The sequence below is a fragment of the Homo sapiens genome, chromosome 10 (genome assembly GCF_000001405.40).
Source record: "Homo sapiens chromosome 10, GRCh38.p14 Primary Assembly".
Lineage (NCBI taxonomy): Eukaryota > Metazoa > Chordata > Mammalia > Primates > Hominidae > Homo > Homo sapiens.
Window position 1 is genome coordinate 99,307,559 of NC_000010.11, and position 21,294 is coordinate 99,328,852.

At 40.3% G+C, this 21,294-nt stretch overlaps 1 protein-coding gene across 1 annotated transcript in view; it reads right to left on the minus strand.

Annotated features, from left to right (window-relative positions):
• The window catches only part of HPSE2 (heparanase 2 (inactive)), an 858,875-nt gene extending 850,482 nt beyond the window's left edge, over positions 1-8,393 (minus strand). Inside the window, exon 1 of the mRNA XM_047425614.1 lies at positions 8,371-8,393. The gene's annotated coding sequence lies outside the window, so the exon portion shown is untranslated. The remainder of the gene's footprint in view (positions 1-8,370) is intronic.

Genomic DNA, 21,294 nt, shown 5'->3' on the forward strand with positions numbered 1-21,294 from the left:
TCTGCTTCTGCTTCTGCTGGCTAGGCCTCTGCTCCAAAAAAAGAAGATTCTGATCCTTATGGTTATAGAGGAAAATATCTATGGCACCCCCATGGCACAGCCAAGGAGTTAATTCAGGCTCATGTTAAACCCAGGATCCTTAAATCCTTAACAACCATTACCATGGGGTATGCCCTTGACCCTGATTATATGAATTTGAGAATCTCTGAATGCAAAAATGATAAATATGAGCATAATAAAGAAGAGTCCCCTTGAATTATACCTAGTAAATGCGCACACACACACACACACACACACACACACACACACAAATGGCTACAGTGGGAAGAAACAAAAACCTGAAACAGAGGTTCACAATTTGATCTAAATAAGATCTGTTTTGGAAACCACTTTGGCAGTTCCTCAAAATGTTAAAGTTATCATATGTCCTAGCAATTCTACTCCTATGTATACACACAAGAGAGTTAAAAACATATGTCCATTCAAAAACTTATACATGAATGTTCAAAGCAACATTATTCAAAATAGCAAGAAAATGGAAACAATCGGCCAGGTGCGGTGGCTCATGCCTGTAATCCCAGCATTTTGGGAGGCCGAGGCAGGCAGATTCCCTGAGATCAGGAGTTCAAGATTAGCCTGGCCAACATGGTGAAATCCTGTCTCTACTAAAAATACAAAAATTACCCGGGTGTGGTGGCACACGCCTGAAATCCCAGCTACTTGGGAGGCTGAGGCAGGAGAACTGCTTGAGGTGGAGGTTGCAGTGAGCCGAGATTGTGCCTCTGCATTCCAGCCTGGCCGACAGAGCAAGACTCTGTCTCAAAAAAAAAAAAAAAAAGGAAACCATCAAAATCTCCATCAACCAATGAAATAAGCAAACTGTGGCATATCCATACAATGGAATATTATTTGGCCATGAAAAGAAGTACTGATGCATGTTACAACATGAAAGAACTTTGAAAACATTATACGAAATTCGTTAACCCTTTTTCTGTTTGCCCCAGGAATACTTGCCAGCAGCACCTGTGGCTGCAAGGGTTACCCAGAGATAACTTTGCCACAGAATATCTCACTTTTATTATTATTTTTGCATCACTTTAGTATATCAACTTTGGAGACAAAATATATCATTCTATTCATAGAATTCTGTTTTTAGTAGTGGCATTTCCATTTACAAAATACAGTAATTCTTGATCACTGAAAATGTCAAATCCTAGAAAACACAGCATTCCTACGTGGGATGATAACATCATTCTTGAACAATTGTTGGCCAAAGATTCATTTGATGAATCTAATTTTTCCAAAATAGGCGATTCTGATGAGTCAGATGATGCTGATGTTAGTTCGGTTTAGAAATAACTCCAAGAACAGTTCTTGTATTTTATTTTCACATTGAGAAACAGGCAGATTTGCTTCAGCCTCAAAGAGTATGTTTATGTAAAATTAAATGAGTGCTGGCAGAGAGCTGTATTTTTTTTTTCTAAACAAGAAAAGGGTTAAGTGAAAGAGGCCAGATACAAAAGACCACACATTGTATGACTCCATCTATATGAAATGTCCTGAATTAGAAAATCCATAGAAACAGAAAGTAGATGTGTAGTTGCCAGGGGCTGGGTGTAGAAAGAATGGAGAGTAACTGTTAATGGGTATAAGTGGGTTTTTGGGGGGCAGGTGATGAAAATGCTGTGAAATTAGGTAGTCATAATGGTTCCACAACTCTGCAAATATACTAATAACCAGTGAATTGTATACATTAAGAGGATTAGTTTTATATTATGTGGAATATATCTCAAACTATTTAAAAATGAGCAAAACATTTGAACAGGCACTTCACAAAAGAGTACAACTAAACAGTCAATTTGTGAAAAGGTACTCAACTTCATTTGTCATCAGGGTTATGTGAAGTAAAACCATAATGAGATACTACTACACACCAACCAGATGGCTAAAATGAAAAGGACAGAAAATTCTAAGAGTTCATAAAGACACAGAGCAGGGTCAGCAAACGATTATGCACCACCTACTTTTCTAAATGAAGTTTTATTGAACACAGCCATGCTCATTCATTTATGTACTGTCTATGGCTTCCATTCTACAAAGACAGAACTGAGTATCTGCCACAAGTCCATATGGCCTGCAAAGCCTAAAATATCTATTATATAGCTTATTAATATCTGGCCCACCACCCTTGATGTGAAGCAACCAGAACTCTGATACACTGCTACTGGGGCTATAAATTGGTGCAACCATTCTGGAAAACTATATGGCAGTATCTACTGTAACTCAACATTTGTATATGCTATATATTTTGTGTATTAGTTTCCTGTGGCTGCTGTAACAAATTACCACAGCCTTAGTGGCTTAAAACAACACAATTTATTCTCTTACAGTTTGGGAAGCCAGAAGTCTGAAACCAAAGTATCAAGTGGACCACACTCCCTCCAAAAGCCCTAGGGGAAAATTCTTTATCTCTTCCAGTTTCTGGTGGCTGCCAGCATTCTTAGTTTGTGGCTATATCACTCCATCTTCACATTGCCTTCTGCTCTGCGTATTTCTAACTTCCTACCAGCTCCTTCTTATAAGAACGCTTATGATAGCATTTAGGGCCCACCTGGAAAATCCAGGATTATGTCCTCATCTCAGAATCCTTAATTTAATTACATCTGCAAAGATCTTTTTTCTAAATAAGGTAACATTTACAGCCTCCTGGTATGAGGACATAGACATATCTTTGGGAGCCATTATCAGCCTATCCAACAATTCCACTCCAGGGCATATAGAGCCACTAAAATATATAAAAACATATTGAGTTGTAACCTTGTAATTGATTAGTTTTTCCTGTGTGCATGTTATACTTCAAAGAAAAGAAAAACCTACAGTGTTCTTTGCTCATCATTAATTAACATCTAAAATTTTTCATTGTAAAGTGTAAATAGTTAGAAAGGATATACAGTGAATTTTAGCATAATTTTTAAAGATATTTTTAAAGAAAATTGTTATATCACCCCTTCAGATCTACCCAGTGGAATGTAAATATTGGAATGATTTAATACCCACCCAGCATCATCCATTTTATTTTTGTTTTTGAGACAGGGTCCCGCTCTGTCGCTCAGGCTGGAGTGCAGTGGTGTGATCTCGACTCACTGCAACCTCTGCCTCTGGGGTTCAAGCAATTCTCCCACCTCAGCCTCCCGAGTAGCTGGAACTACAAGCACGAGCCACCACGCCCAGCTAATTTTTTTGTATTTTTAGTAGCGATGAGGTTATGCCTTGTTGGCCAGGCTGGTCTCAAACTCCTGACCTCAAGTGATCTGTCTGCCTCGGCCTCCCAAAGTGCTGGGATTACAGGCATGAGCCACCCATCATCCATTTTAAAAACAGAATAATGAGATCTTCAGAAATTCATATCATTTTTATTTCTCCTATAACATAATTTTTCATTCCACTTTCCCTACTGCATTTAATCTGAGTGTATTATACTTTTATATTTGGAGATCTATCAATCATCCTATCATAATTCTCTGATACAAAAAAGTATGATAAACTTAATATTTTAACTTTTTTGACCATAAGGCTTTGAGTATTTAAAAAATAAAAAAGTCTTCTGAGTCATATTGTCATGACAATTACTATTAGTACCCAATTGAGCAAAATAACATAAACATCATAAAATGTATATAGATACTGAACATAAAAATTTTATTGGCAATGTGTAGGCATACCTCATTTTATTGTGCTTCACTTTATTGCACTTTGCAGACACTGTGTTTCTTACAAAACTGAAGGTTTGTGGCAATCCTGCATTAATGCCATTTTTCCAACAACATGTGCTCACTTCATGTTTCTATGTCACTTTTTTGTAATTCTTGTTAATATTTCAAGCTTTTTCATTATGATTATTATGTTTGTTATGGTGATCTGTAATCAGTAATCTCTGGTATCACTATTGTAGTTGTTTAGGGGTGCCATGCCTATGTAAGATGACAAACTTAACCAATAAATGTTGTGTGTGTTCTGACTGCGCCTCTGACTGGCCCATTCCCCCATCTTTTCCCTCATCTCAGACCTCCTATTCCCTGATTGAAATTAGTCCTATTAATAACCATATTGAAATTAGTCCTAATAATAACCCTACAACGGCCTCTAAGTGTTCAAATGAAAGGAAGAGCAACACATCTTTCACTTTGAATCAAAAGCTAGAAATAATTAAGCTTAGTGAGGAAGGTATGTCAAAAGCTGAGATAGGCCGAAAGCTAGGCATCTTGTGCCAAAGTTAGCCAAGCTATCAATACAAAGAAAAAGTTATTGAAGGAAATTAAAAGTGCTACTCCAGTGAACACACAAATGATAAGAAACTGAAATAGCCTTATTGCTGATATGGAGAAAGTTTTAGTGGTCTAGATAGAAGATCAACCCAGTCATAACATTCCCTTAAGCCAAAGCCTAATCCAGAGCAAGGCCCTAGCTCCCCTCAATTCTATGAAGGCTGAGAGAGGTGAGGAAGTTGCCCAGGAAAAGTTGGGACTAGTAAAGTGTGGTTCACGAGGTTTAAGAAAAAAAGCCATCTCCATAACATAAAATTACAAGATGAAGCAGTAAGTGCTGGATGTAGAAGCCTCAGCCAGTTATCCAGAAGATCAAGCTAAAATAACTGATGAAGGTGGCTACACTAATCGACAGATTTTCAGTGTAGACAAAACAGCCTTCTCTTGGAACCAGATGTCACCTAGGACTTCCATAGCTAGAGAGATGTCAACACCTGGCCTTGAAGCTTCAAAAGATAGGCTGACTCTCTTGTTAAGGGTTAATACAGCCGGCGACTTTAGGCTAAAGCCAGCACTCATTTACCATTCCAAAAATCCTAGGGCCCTTAAGAACGTTAAATCTACTTTGCCTGTGTTGTATAAATAATATTCCATTTTGTTGTCACAAAGCCTGGATGACAACACATCTGTTTACAGCAAACTTTACTGAATATTTTAAACCCATCGTTGAGAACTACTGCTCAGAAAAAAAGATTCCTTTCATAACATTACTGCTCATTGACAATGTACCTGGTTACCCAAGAGCTCTGATGCAGATGTACAAGGAAATTAATGTTGTTTTCACATGTGCCAACACGTCATCCATTCTGTAGCCTATGGATGAAGAAATAATTTCTAATTTTCAGTCTTATGATTTAAGAAATACATTTCATAAGGCTATGACTGCAATTCCTCTGGCAGGTCTGGGCAAAGTCAATTGGAAACCTTCTGCAAAAGATTCATTATTATAGATGTAAACCTCATGTTGAATTGCAATCCCTAATACTGTAGGTATGGCCAGGTGGGAGGTCACTGGATAATGGAGATGGGCTTCTCATGAATGGCTCAGCACCATCTCCTTGGTGCTGTTCTCATGATAGTCAGTGAATTCTCATGAGATCTAGTCGTTTATGCCATCATGTGGCAATCCTGTTCCCTCTTCACCTTCTGCCATGATTGTAAGCTTCCTGAGACCTCCCCAGAAGCTGAGCAGATGCCAGTATCGTGCTTCCTGTAAAGCCTGCAAAACTGTGCAGGCTTTAAATCTGGTAAACCTCGTTTCTTTATAAATTACCCAGCCTGAGGTATTGCTTTCTAGCAATGCAAGAGCAGACTAATACAAGATGCCATTAAGAGCATTTGTGAATCATGGGAGGACTACATATCCACATAAACAGGAATTTAGAAGCTGATTTCAATGCTCATGGATGACTCTGAGGGGTTCCAAAATTCAGTGGAGGTTCCCATCACTGCATATGTGGTGGGAATAGCAAGAGAACTGGAATTAGAAGTGAAGACTGAAGATGTGAGAGAAGTGCTGCAATCTCAGGATAAAATTTGAATGGATAAAGAGTTGCTTCTAATGGATAAGCAAAGAAAGCTATTTCTTGAGATGAAATCTACTCCTGGTAAAGATGCTGTGAATATTATTGAAATGAAAACAACAGATTTAGAATATTCCATAAACTTAGTTATAAAGCAGCAGCAGGGTTTGAGATGACTGACTCCAATTTTTTTTTTTTTTTTTTTTTTTTTTGAGACGGAGTCTCACTCTGTCGCCAGGCCGGAATACAGTGGTGCAATCTCAGCTCACTGCAACCTCCATCTCCCGGGTTCAAGTGATTCTCCTGCCTCAGCCTCCTGAGTAGCTGGGACTACAGGTGACGACCAGCATGCCCAGCTATTTTTTTTTTATTTTTAGTAGAGACAGGGTTTCACCACGTTGGCCAGGATGGTCTCGATCTCTTGACCTCATAATCTGCCGGCCTCGACCTCCCAAAGTGCTGGATTACAGGCATGAGTCACCGCGCCCAGCTGATTGACTCCAATTTTTAAAGGTGTTCTATTGTAGGTAAGATGCTATCAAATAGCATCACGTGCTACAGAGAAATCTTTTAAGTGAATAGAAGCAAACTTTATTGTTATCTCATTTTAAGAAATGTTCACAGCCACCCCAACCTTCAGCAGCCACCACCCCGTCAGTCAGCAAACACCAACATCAAGGCAAGACTCTCCACCAGCAAAAAGATTATGACTTACTGAAGGCTCAGATGAGCTTTAGCATTTTTCAGCAATAAAGTTTTTGGTTTTGGTTTTTTGACACAAGGTTTGTCTCTGCAGCCCAGGCTGGAATGCAGTGCCACCATCTCAGGTCACTGCAACCTCCGCCTCCTGACCTCAAGCCATTCTCCCACCTCAGCTTCCCAGGTAGTTGGGACTATAGGTGCAGGCCACCATGCCCGGCTGATTTTTGTATTTTTTGTAGAGACAGGGTTTCGCCATATTGCCCAGGCTGGTCTTGAACTCGTGAACTCAAGCGATCCTCCCACCTCAGCCTCCCAAAGTGCTGGGATTAAAGGCATAAGCCACTGAGCCTGGCCTAAATATTTTTAAATTAAGGTATGTCCACTGTTTTTTTAAGACACAATGCTATTACACACTTAATAGACTACAATATAGTGTAAACATAACTTTCATATGCACTGGGAAACCAAAAACTTTGACTTACTGCAATGTGTTAGTCTGGAACAAAACCCGCGGTATCCCCGAGGTATGGCTGTATCTCTTAATGAGATTAATGTGGATTTTATTTTACAAATCTGTGCACTTATAATAGTATTAGTCAATGTACAAAATAAATCCTTTTTATTTTATTTTTAAATATAAGCTCTGAGAAAGCTTGCTTACATAAATAAGTAGATAGGAAAAGTGACCATTTCTTTAATGGCAATGTCACAAAATTTTTTGATCTCCTCAGAGTTACATACCAAACATCCCATGGTGATCTATGATTTAAAATTACGTTTAATTATCTATTGGTTAATAGCTACATTAGGTCTTTCTTCAATTTGGTTGAAAGAAAGAAACCACCTAAACTGAAAAAGATTTGTTGCTCCAAGATTTGAGTCAATCACTTCAGGACCAGCACCAATTTTCCTTCCATGCACCTTAGCAAGAGTAGGAATGGATGAGAAGTACACAAAGAACACTAATTTTATTTAAGTATAGTTATCAAGATATTTTTTAAAACTAGGGACATAGTATTAAATATGCTTTAATGTTAATGCATTAAGTAAAAGATCAGGCAGCAGGTCAAATACCCCATAATTTCACAGCCGTGAGCAAAAATATTTCTACATACCACAAGGTGCATGACAGTTCCATGATTTCCATGGTGACAAGAGTACGGGTACTGTTAACACTCCTGTGATTTCTATTGGTGACAGTCACAGGTACTGCTAATATTACTGTGCTTTGTGATTGTTTTCATAATTGAAGAAGATGCTAACATTTACTCAGATATTAGACAAAACAAAGATGTTCTTTTCTTTCCACCGTCGTTCACAGACGACCAGAATTCTAGGGTTAAGAACTCCTAGTTTAACAATGGAAGGAAGAAGGGAGTGATGGTGAAGCGAAGCAGTCAGGGGAGAGGTGAAAAGCGAAGCGAGGAAAGGAGGAGACGGACAGGTAGAAGGAATGGAATGAAGACAGGCAAGAAGGAAATCTATCTCAATCTCTGGGCTCGGGCTACACAAAAAGCTTGCAGATTCACAGCCAGCGATGTGGTTATTTCTATGGCGATTTTATATCAACATTTTATAACAACTAGGTTCTTCAGTTGAGTCCTACCCACTAATCTCTTCCTCAGTTCCATAAACAGGGTCACCCGGCTGCAGAACTGCAAGTCCCAATACAACCAGGATTTTCAGCCCTCTTCCCCAAACAGCATCTTCACAGACACGTTCCAAATCTTGTGCCCTTAATTAACAGGGAGTCCATATTTTCTTGGGATAGTCCCTCCCCATTAGTCCCTCTAGGAGTCCTCAAAGAGGGGGATGCTCACCTCTCTTCTCAGCCGCCACCTGCTGCTCTCGGACCCTCAGCTCCAAGTCCCACAGCTCCGGCTTCCTCATCTCCAGGTCCCTCAGCTCCCGGTTCCTCAACCCTGGGTCCCTCAGCCCACTGTTGGGTGCCGGCGGCTCCGCGCTGTCATCAGCCTCTTCTGTCCACCCACCCGGGGGCGCTGAAAATAATCTTCTCTGGCTCCCTCTTGTTTGGAAGTAGAGCCTTCTCACCCCTGTCATCAATCATCGCTTTTCTTGGACCCTCCGCGGTCTGCCCCTGGGAGGGCACAGGCTCCCGCCAGGCCTCGGGTGGCTGCTCTCGCTGCCATTCCGCGGGGGCTCAGGCGGGCTCTTGTGCGCTCGGGCGCCTTTTCCTCTCAGGAGCTCAGCTCCAGAGACCACCATTCTTCCGCAGGCTCTGTTGACTCGAGTCCGCTGTTCTGAGGCATTCAAGCCACAGAATGTCAGGGCAGAGGCGGAACACGTGTTAAAGGGTCGCTGCAGAGTCATGGCCTATGAGGAAGCTCTCGAACTTTCCATGACCCTTGAAGCGCTTTCAAAGGCAAAAGTTCCGGGCCTGTGAGGAGGCTCCGCGATGGCGGGCCTGGCTGAGGGCGAGCAGCCTGCCTGGCGCTCATGCAGGGGACTGTGTGGCGGCAGCCTCTCACCTCGCAGTCTCAGCCCCACCCAGACAAAATATTGATTCACCAGCAGAGAAGGGCCATTGACTAGGAAGCCCTCGGAGCAAAACAGCACCGGATTCCGTTTGTCCCAGAGTATCTTCCCCCGCCCCCTCAGAGCCAAACAAGAAAGTAACTACTGTATTCCTTTCCCAAACCCAGCCTGGGTGGTGGTGGTGGTGCTGGTGGTTCTGAGACAGAGTATCCCTCTACCCGCCCAGGCTGGAGTGCAGTGGCGCCATCTCCGCTCACTGCAACCTCCGCCTCCGGGGTTCAAGCGATTCTCCTGCTTCATCCGCTCCAGTAGCTGGGATTACAGGTGCCGACCACCACGCATGGCTAATTTTTGTATTTTTAGTAGAGACAGGGTTTCATCATGTTGGCCAGGCTGGTCTCCAACACCTGACCTCAGGTGATCCGCCCGCCTCCGCCTCCCAAAGAGCTGAGATTACAGGCGTGAGCCACCTCTCCTGGCCACCTAGCGTGTACTTTCTGAAAACTCCCAGAGTGGGAGAACCCCCTACTATGGATTTTTAAATCTTCTGTTTGTTTATACAAACAATATATTCCCAGCTCTTACTGTGTGGTGGATACTGGAAATATTCCAGTCTCTGGAATCATCATATGCATCATTTATTGGCAAGAATTTGACAGAATCCAAATTCCCGGCAATAAATAAAACTGGCTATTACTGGCCAGTTTACTTACCATTAAATAAAAATAAGCTATTATCCATTATATTCTAAACGCCAGGAGAAGAACAAGAATCTGTGGGAACATGGGGGTGCTCCTGACATTTATAATTAATTATAAAATAATTATATGTAAAATAATATAATTATTTTATAATGGATATAGTAATTATATTATAAATGCCAGGAGAAGAACAAGAATCTGTGGCAACATGGGGGTGCTTTTGACCCACACTTGGGGAATCATGGAAAGCTTAGAGAAACTTCAAAGCTGAGACCTAAAATACAAATAAGGAGGAGTTTTCTAAGCCAAGGAAAGTGGACAGAGAAATTTCCAGGCAAAAGCCACAGCGTGTAGCAAGAGAAGACAAGAGAAAGCATGGCTCATTGGAGAAACTGAAACAAACTCAATATGGCTGAATGGTGGCAGTGCAGGGAGTAGTTATGACTATTGGTTCTGGAGGTAGCCTATCTGTGTTCAAATCCCACTTGCCACTATTGAGAAGCAAGAAGGGAGGCATAGAGGAGAGATTTTTTTAAAGGATACAAAATGACAGCTAGATGGGAGGAATAAGTTCTAGTGTTGTATACCACTGTAGGATGACTATAGTTAACAATAATAATAGTTTCAAATAGCTAGAAGGAGGATACTGAATTTTCCCAACACAAAAAAATGATAAATGTTTGAGATTATAGATATGCTAATTACCCTGATCTGATCACCATACAGTATATGTATCAAAACATCACTATGTACCTCATGAATATATACAATTATTATTTGTCAATTTAAAAAATCAAGTTAATAAAATTAAATATCTTTAAAAGATTGGAAAAGGCAGCTTGTGAAGGACTTTGGGAAGCCATATTAAGGGGTATATGATATATCCTAAGAACAATAGAGCACCACTGGAAGGTTTTAAGCAGGGGATTAACATAATTAGATTTATATTGTATAAAGATTACTCTCTGCCTTGTAAAGAACGGAGGAGAAAAACAAAACAAGACGGGAGTCAGGAAAAATAGGCTTGAAGAAGCCAAGGCCACCATGAGTGAACCAATGAAATCCCTTATAGATATGTTTTCACTCTTACTAATAAAACAGTGAAGGCTGTCAATGTTAACATTCACCTACGTGAATAATAGCAATGTGTCCAAATAATTTCAATTTATCATCCCTTGCTTGCCAAAAACTTACCAGTTTTGACAAGATGATTGGAAATTTGTTTTGCTTCGTTGCAGATAATCTGCAAACTAAAAAGATGTCCCTATTGGCTCCTCCATCCAAATATGTCTTTCTGATTTTGTAACACAGGGTTGTCTTTGACTCCCATTATCCTTGATCCCACAGGTTCACAGAGACAGAGTCACTTGTGTACTCAATACAGAAAGGCCTTCGGCACACTTTAGTCTGTTATGCCTAGCTGAAGAGGTATTTCTTAATCCTCTAACCAGAATACAGGGTTATAGGTCTTGTTTCAGCTCATGATACATAAGTTCATGACAAGGCACATGCCCTCAACTCTTCCTACACCAGCCCAATTCCCTGCCTCTTAATAGACCAGAAAACAAATCCTTGCTTTACTTCCTCTTAGCTTCCTTTGCCTCTCCCAGACTGTATCGCAAAAAGCTCAAATCTTGTTCTTACGTGTTTTCTCTCCTGTTTTTTTTTTCCCTTTTCCTCTCCCTAAACTGTCTCTTTTCCTCATTATCCCCAAAAGAAATGACTCAAGATCACACATTCTCAAATAGGGAGGCAAATTCTTATTTACCAGAATTTCTCATAGGAAAAAAGATAATCATCCATAACTATCCAAGTAATTAATTCATTGCCTGTTCTCTAGACCCTGGGCAAGTCATACTGCTGAGATGCAAATCCTGGCTCAACCACTTACTTGCTGTGTGACCTTAGGCAAGTTATACTTAGCCACTTTTCACTTCACTTTCCCTATCTGTAAGGTAGAGATAATGGTCCTGTCTCATAGGGTTACTGTGAGGGTTAAATGAGTTGATGTATGTAAAATACTGAACAGAGTCAGGAATATTCTAAGAACTCAATAAGTGTTGGCTATTACTGTATGCTGGGCACTGGGAATATAGCAATGAGTGAGACAGGGAAGATCCTTGCTCTCCTGGACTTTATATCCTAATGAGGGGGAATATAATAAACAATCAAGTAAATAAAGATAACCGCAGAGTATGATAATCTTATAAAGAGAATAACGGAATGAGGATGGAGACTTTAGGTAAGATGGTCAGGGACAGAGGAAAAATGAGAAGGAATCAACAATGCAAGGAGCTGGAGAAATAAGCAGCAAATTTGAAGACCATAAGAACCATCATAAGGATGGAAAGAGCTTGGAGAGTTCTCACAACAAGAGGCCAGTGTGGCTGATGATTGGTGAGCTCAGGGGAGAGTGGCGGAAGCTAAGCCATCATTTAGGTGAAGGCCTGATTCAGCAAAACCATGTGTATCCTGTTAAGAGGCTGGATTTATTTTCAATGTCATGGGAAGACACTGAAGGGTATTAAGCAGGTAAATAATATTATCAGGTCTATGTTTTAAGAAGACCCTTTCTAGATCTCTGTGAAATGCATTGCCCCAAGCAACCTGCTCAGCTAACAAAATTTCAGCACTGCCCAGGAACTTAAAGTTCATGAAAATTCATCTCCAAAGTCCCTCCTCTTCTAATAATCAGTGATTCGATGCTGAAGTTGAAGAGACCTTTGACTTCTCAGCAACACAATCTAAGTACAGAGCTGTATTATTTCTTTTTCCCTTTGTGCCATTGGTTTTAAATGGTTGAGTCATGTCAAATAAATGCTTTTAATTGTTCTTGTTTCTTGCCTCCAAATTCCCAAATGCTAATCAACAATTTTCTGCTAATGAAGTGTCCAAAACTTAAAACAGCATCCCAGGTGCTATCTCACTAGGGCCAAACAGAAAGAGCTATTATCTCCCTGCTTTATGACAAGAGACCAATGTCATATTTTTCTCACAATATTATACAGCAGACATGTATCTAATTTGCCATTTAGCATCACCCTAGGGCCTCTTACAGCTATTACTGTTTTCCAGGTGTTGCCCGCCTCATGAAAAAATTTCTTTCCAATTATTTTTCCCCAGATGCTTCTGCTTGAAATTTTTCCAAGTTGAGTGTCATTCCCTCTGCCATATTGTTAATGTTTTATATAATTTATTTTACTTTCCTGGTGTTTGCAACATGTCTTCTTTTAGTGTCATCTGAAAATTTCATTAACATGTTTGTGGACAGGATGTAGCTAGAAGGGAAGTGCTGAGGGACTCATCTTCTGTTCCTTTATTAGTTAGGTATTGGTTCTAGAAATGGAGAAGGAGCCCATTCATCAAAAGTAGAATTTGTCTCTACTCTTTTCTTACACACACACACACACACACACACACACACACACAGTCCTTGACATGAACAAAATGTCTATATCAGGGATCCCTAACATGGGGATCACAGACACGATGGCACACTGGGGTTCCCATGCACCCCTGTGATTGTATTCACAATAAATTAACATTGTTGTATCCTTGAGTAGATATGCAGTTTTCTAGGGAAAAGGCCAATAGCTCTCATTAGAATCTCATGGAGGGCCAGGTGTGGTGGCTCACGCCTCTAATCCCAGAAATTTGGGAGGCCGAGGCAGGTGGATCACTTGAAGTCAGGAGTTCGAGATCAGCCTGGTCAACATGGTGAAACCCCATCTCTACTAAAAATACAAAAAATTAGCTGGGCATGGTGGCACACACCTGTAATTCCAGCTACTCAGGAGGCTGAGGCAGGAGAATCACTTAAACTCAGAAGGCGGAGGTTGCAGTGAGCCAAGATGGCGCCACTGCACTCCAGCCTGGAGGACAGGGTGAGACTCTGTCTCACACACACAAAAAAGAATCTCACACACTGCAAAAAGATTAAGAACCTTTGTTTTATATCATTATTTCTCAAAGACTGAGCCAACAGTCAGCTCTATTGGAATCACATGGGATGCTTAGTAAAATGCAGATTCTTAGGCCCTATTCTAGACATACATAATGCAAATGGAGATAGGAATGTCAATTATTTTTGACTGGGATAAGTACGTTAATTGTACAAAATTTAAAAGGTCAAAAAATCTCCTATCCCTGTTTCCTAGCTACCGGTTTCTTTTCAGTGAGGCAACCACTGTTACCAGTTTTCTGTATATTTTTTAGAACCTGAAAAAAAAAAAAGAACCAACAACAACAACAACAACAACAACAACAAACTCCCCAGGTGATTTATATGATGTTTATGTACAATAAAATTTGAGAACCATTGCTCTATAAAGAAAAAGAATGAATGTTTAACTGTGCTAAAGGCTGTCTCAATCAGACAGACCTTTTCCCCCTACCCATTTAAGAGCCTGATTATCCTGACAAACAACACTCAAAGCCAATTACATATATACAGCTTTCCATCCTTTCATCTCCTCTCAGTAAAGAAAACGTCTTCAATCTTTTTTCGGTTTGGCTAGAATTTATCACCTCTGCTTCTGGCTCTCTGTTGACCTAGTCTGACACCCCACCCTGATTCAGGTGTTGAGTAAACTGGTAGCCAAAGTGGGATTGACCTTCTGACTGCCCAAAAGCTGTGGATTACTCATTCCCTCCAGAAAAACTTCTTAACCTTTTTGGTAAAACAAAAAATCTCCCTAGCCTAGGCAGCTTCTCTTATTAACTGATAGAAACAGCTTACCTCAGAAATGCTATACACAAAATTAATCATTTCTTGTCGGCATTAACAAGTCTAGATGGTCTTGTACCTGCTCTACTGGCAGGTGTAGAAGCAGCCAACTCTACACTGTGGAATGGAAGCTGTATCTCTCAGCTTCTGCCTGAGTTGGGTCCAGAGATTCAAGCACAGTAAAGCATAGGTTCATGTTTTCATATGTGAAGCTCTGTTGAATGTGGAATGCCCTATAATAGAGAACAGATGTACCTTAAATGCCAGCTGAAAACTTTAGCTCCCAATTTCACACCTGACAGGCTAACAAATATATGAAGAGAGGCACAAAGTTGTTAGGAATCAGGGACATTCAAACTGAAAGAATGAGATAACGCTTCATGCCCATTAGCTTAGCCAAATTGGGAAGTGAACAATACCAAATGTAGGCTATGATGTAGGAAAACAGAAAACCTTAGGCACTACTGGTGGAGAGGCAATTCTGAGGGAACGCATACACTGTGGTCCAACAGTCCCATGGCAGCTACATCCTAAAGGAATTGCCTCACAGATCCAGTAAGATCATGGTCAAGGATTCCCCTGTGGCTCTATCAGTAGTAATGGGAAGTAACTTAAATGTCCATCTCCAAAGGAATGGATAAAAATAACATTCTGGCTATCCACTATGGAACACCATGCAGCATTTAGAACACCAAACCAGCTATACGTTCAGCAACATGAACAGATTTTACACAGAGTGTTGTGTGAAAATGTAATAAAAAGGACAAGTTCTATAGTAATTTTATGAAAATTAAAAACACATACACAGGCAGAAAGTAGATTAGTGGTTGCTGGAGGCTTGGGGCAGGGATTGGAGAGAAACTGTGAATGGGTACAGGATTTATTTTAGGTGTGATGAAAATGTTCTGGAATTAGATTGTGGTGATTGTTGAACAACTGTGTAAATATTCTAAAAAAAAATCACTGAATTTTTCCTTTTTAAAGGGTCAATTTGGCCGAATACAGTGGCGCAAACCTGTAATCCCAGAATTTTGGGAGGCCAAGGTGGAAGGATCACTTGAGCCCAGGGGTTTGAGACCAGCCTAGGTAACATGGAGAGATTCCATCTCTACAAAAGTTTTTTTTTTTATTTTTATTACAATTAGCTGGACATGGTGGTGTGCACCTGTAGTCCCAGCTACTGGAGAGGATCACTTGAGTCCAGGCAGTCAAGAGGGCAGTGAGCTATGATCCTGGTGCTGCACTCCAGAGACCCTGTCTCTAAAAAACAGAAAAATAAAAGGATGAATTTTATGGTTTGTAAATTGTATCTCAATAAAAGAAAAACACAAACCAATACTAAGTATTCTACAAGGATACATACATACTTAAAGATATATCAATCAATATTGGAGTGGCTATCTGAAAGGGGAAGGGATGAGACTGGGGATTAGAATGGGGTAAGAGAGGCTTTTTATAGCCAATGATGCTAGTGTACCATCAACCATCAACTGAGGAAGATGATTAACTCAATTATCTGTGCCTGTGATAAAACTAACAAACACACACCAACAACAACAACTGAGGGTGGAAGAAGGGAAGAAAAAAGGAAAAGCATGTTTATAGTTTTAGTGAGGGAAAATATGCTATAATGAGGAGTTAAAAAAAAGTTAAGAATACTACAATGGTAAGAACATTGTAAGTGCAACTGGCCAGGCGCAGTGGCTCACACCTGTAATCCCAGCACTTTGGGAGTCTGAGGCAGGTGGATCACTTGAGGACAGGAGTTCGAGACCAGCCTGACCAACATGGTGAAACCCCGTCTCTACTAAAAATACAAAAAAAATTTAGCCAGGCATGGTGGTGCACGCCTTTAATCCCAGCTACTAGGTAGGCTGAGGTACTAGAATTGCTGGAACCTGGAGGCGGAGGTTTCAGTGAGTCAAGATCGTGCCTCTATACTCCAGCCTAGGCAACAGAGCGAGACTCTTGTCTCAAAAAAAAAAAAAAAAAGGAACATTATAAGTGCAGCTATGTAAAACGATGTGTGTAAACAAAAGTACAACAGATTGCTATAATGTAGTGTTGTGTAAAATAGTGTGGTGTATTGGCAGTGCCTTGGCCATTCATTGTATAATCTTGGACACCAGTGTACTTAATTTCTCTGTAGCTCAGCCTCCTCATGTAAAATGGAAATTATGATAACACCTAATTCCAAAGGTTCTTATGAGAATTAAATAAGTTAATTTATGCATGAAACATAGTGGCCTTTTGTAAAGGTTACCTGGTATTATCGTTTTCCTAACTTTTGGAACTGTAGACCTTGGACTCAAACTATGTGTCCCATTGAGCTTCACTAGCCATTAATCATGTGACTTTCACAAAGTCACCTAATCTGAGCCTCAATTTTCTCATCTATTGTGAGAATTAAGAGGGATAATGTACTTGGCACATGGCAAACACTCAATAAATGCTAACAGGCCAGGCACGGTGGCTCATGCCTGTAACCTAGCACTTTGGGAGGCCGAGGTGGGCAGATCACTTGAGGTCAGGAGTTCGAGACCAGCCTGGCCAACATGGCGAAACCCCATCTCTACTAAAAATACAAAAATTAGCCAGGAGTGGTGGCGTGCTTCTGTAATCCCAGCTACTCAGGAAGCTGAGGCACAAAAATCGCTTGAACCCAGAGGCAAAGGTTGCAGTGAGTGGAGATCACGCCACTGCACTGCAGCCTGGGCGATGGAGCAAGACCCTGCCTCAAAAAAAAAAAAAAAAAGCTAACAGATTACATTATTAGGAATATTACTAATATACTGTCATAGTTTTAAAGTACAAAAAAGGAATAGAAGATACAAAATTTAATAATTTTATGTTCTTCCTAATGTATAAATTCTTCCATTTTTATAACATCTAATTTTTGTGGATAGAGTTCCCAGACCCTCTTCCCTAGATGATGGGTCCCATGCACCCTCAGGGCACTTTGAACAGCTCCTTCATGGCAATAATTAATTAATTAGGCAGGTAGGTAATTTCCGGTTTATGTCTGTCTTCCTCAGGAGAATCTAAGCTCCAAGATGACAAAGATGGTGTCAGATATGCCCAATATCTAGCACAAGGCCTGGCACTTTGATGATTAACAAATATTTATGGAATGGATGAACAAGAAATGAAATAAACAAAAGCATTTTAACATGTACATTCTGAAATAGTATAGTCATGATATTAAAAGTAAGTATTATTTCCTCCATCTCTCTGAGAAGCGAGGAAGTGCCCATCTTGTAAGCTAAGAAGACAGTAAACATTCAGATTCTGGGGAGCTATTTTTGGCAGCTCTTCCTTAGGAGAATCACACTGCCTGAACCTGTCCCCAGGAATCCTTTCAGTTACAGCAGAGCTCTGGAAACCCAGTACTTTTCCAGAACCTCCTATTCAGTAAAAGGAAAAGTACTCAGTCTCTCTAGATTATCTTCACACAGTGTACATTAGCCCTTACTCACTGACTCATGAAAGGGTAGGGAGCTTAAAACTGTCATTTCACGAATGAGGAAATGAGCCCAGAAAAGTAGATTGATTTTCCAAGCCTAACATTTGTTAATAATAGAGCTGGTGCAATTGGGAATAGGCTCATTCTTACAGTTCTCTCTCTTTCTCAATACATATGTAATACATATATATTTGATTTATTTAAATGACATTTATGAATGATTTTTATTACATTGGGGAAAAAGCCCTTGATGTGTTAAGTAGCAGGAGCTGACTAGAATTATGTATAATACATATTTAATTATAAAATATGTAACTATATGGAGAGCACGTGTGTGTGTGTGTGTGTGCATGTATTTCTCCATTACTTATCTATGTAGAAAATGTAAAAAGTAGTATAAAAAATGTTAACAGTGTTTATCTCTAGTTGGTGGGTCATGGTGTATTTTTATTTATGTTCTTCTGCATTAAAATTTTTGTTAATAAGCATGTAATACTTTATAACCAGAAATTTCAGTTTTTTAATTCCTGCTCTAATATTTTTTAAACATTTTATTTCCGTCAGCTCTACCAGATAAAGGAAGCATCAAGCTAGGGTCCAAAGAAGTTTTACCAGTCATTTAACCTGATCTGTAAAATGGGTATAATTATACCTACTTCCCAGGGCTCTTGTGTATATGGAATAATAAATAAGAAATTCCTTCATAACTTTAAAGCTTGTTAAAGATGTTACGTGGTATTGTAATGATGATAATGTTCTGTGGTCTAAAAGAGCTGGGAAAGCCCTTAGGATAGCGGGTATCTTTGTGCTGAGGAGTTTAGGTTGGGAAGGGAAAGAAGTCTAAGTGTCAGGAGAGAAGTAAGCGCTTTTTTGCACTTAAGAAAAACAATCAGCTGGGCGGGTGGCTCACGCCTGTAATCCCAGCACTTTGGGAGGCCGAGGCAGGTGGATCACCTGAAGTCAGGAGTTTGAGACCAGCCTGGCCAACATGGTGAAACCCCATCTCTACTAAAAACACAAAAATTTGCCAGGTGTGGTGGCACACTCTTGTAATCCCAGCTACTTGGGAGGCTGAGACAGGAGGATTGCTTGAACCCAGGAGGTGGAGGTTGCAGTGAGCCAAGATCGCGTCACTGCACTCCGGCCTGGGTGACAGAGCATGACTCCGTCTCAATAAAAAAAAAAAAAGAAAGAAAGAAAGGAAGAAAAACAATCATATGGTTGACCCCAGTTCTCTCCTTCCCTTATACTTCGAATAAATGCCTCAATGTTCCCTCATAAGATTAAACCTCCCTTCTGTCTCTTAAGTAGCCCATGCAAAAAGCAGCTTATAGTGGACAGGATCTAGTGTATTCTGAGACAATGGCATGTCACAAATGCCACGGAAAATGAGATTTCACACATAGGGATGATTTTACACTAAACCCAGGTGCCAAGGGTGGTATGTAAAATAACTCTTCCTTTTTAATTTATTAATTATTTTTAGAGACAAGGTTTCATGCTGTTGCCCAGGCTGGAGTGCAGTGATGCGATTATAGCTCACTGCAGCTTCGAATTCCTGGGCTCAAGTGATCCTCTTGCTGCAGCCTCCCAAGTAGATGAAACTACAGGCATGTGTCGCCATGCCTGGCTAATTTTTTTTAATTTTTAATTTTTTAGAGACAGGGCCTCCCTACATTGTTCCGGCTGGTCTCTAACTCCTGGCCTCAAGAGATCCTCCCACTTCAGCCTACCAAGTAGTTAGGATTACTATATTTTAAAATGTAATACAGACTTATGATAAATTTACCCAAGAGAAATAAAAATTTATGTTCTCACAAAAACCATCACACAAATGTTCATAGCCACTTTATTAATAATTGCTAAAAACTGGAAATAACTTAAATATCCTTTATTGAATGGATAAACAAACAGTGACACATCCATATAATGGAATGCTACTCAGCCATACAAAAGGATGAACTACTGAAAATCACAACAACATAGATGAATCGTAAATGCATTATGCTAACTTAGTAAAGGAAGGGAGAACCCAAAAGGCTACAGACTGTATTCTCCATTTATATGATAATCCGGAAAAGAAAACTATAGGGGAGAACAGATCAGTAGTTCCCAGAGGATAAGACGAAGGGAGGGGTTGACTACATACAATAGGACGGTAAGAGAATTTGGGGGGTGGTGGTGATGGAATTACTTTTTATTGTGATGTTTACATGTATATGCATTTGTCAACATTCATAGAACAGTACACCAAAAAGTGAATTTTACTATATAAAGTTTAAAAATAAATGCATAAAAATAATATAGTCGAGTAAATTCAAACAATATAAGGAATTTAATAAGAAAGTCTCCCTCCCAGATCTTGGTGATAATAGATCTGTATTTTGAGTGCAGTGATGGTCACATACATCCATACATGTGATAAAATGATAGAGAACTATATACACACATTACACCAATATCAACTTCCTGCTTTTGATATTGTACTATAATTAAGATGTAACCCGCCAGGCACGGTGGCTCATGCCTGTAATCCCAGCACTTTGCGAGGCCGAGGCAGGCGGATCACCTGAGGTCAGGAGTTCGAGACCAGCCTGGCCAACGTGGTGAAACCCCGTCTCTACCAAAAAAAAAAAAAAAAAAAATTAGCCGGGCGTGATGGCGGGCGCCTGTAATCCCAGCTACTCAGGAGGCTGAGGTAGGAGAATCGCTTGAACCTGGAAAGCGGAGGTTGCAGTCAGCCGAGATCGCGCCATTGCACGTCAGCCTGGGTGACAAGAGCGAAACTCCGTCTCAAAATAAATAAATTAATTAAAAGATGTAAACGGCGGGTCGCGGTGGCTCACGCCTGTAATCCCAGCACCCTGGGAGGCCGAGGCAGATGGATCATTTGAAGTCAGGGATTCGAGACCAGCTTGGCCAACATGGTGAGACCCCATCTCTACTAAAAATATAAAAATTAGCTGGGCGCGGTGGCGCACGCCTGTAATCCCAGCTACTCAGGAGGCTGAGGTAGGAGAATCGCTTGAACCCGGGAGGTGGAGGTTGCAGTGAGCCAAAATTGTGCCACTGCACTCCACCCTGGGCGACAGAGCAAGACTCCATCTCAAAATAAATAAATAAATAAATAAATCTCATATAAGTGTGTGTGTGTGTACAAATTTATACATAAATACTTTTAACACAAATGGTAGCATATTATACTTGCTGTTCTGCACCTTACTTTGTTTCTACAATTACTTTGGAGATTTTTTTCCGTATCACATATACAACAGATCCACCGCATTATTTTTTATTGCCGCATAGTATTCCATTGCACAGTGGTTTCACTTATTTCAACAGTTTCTTATTGATGGAC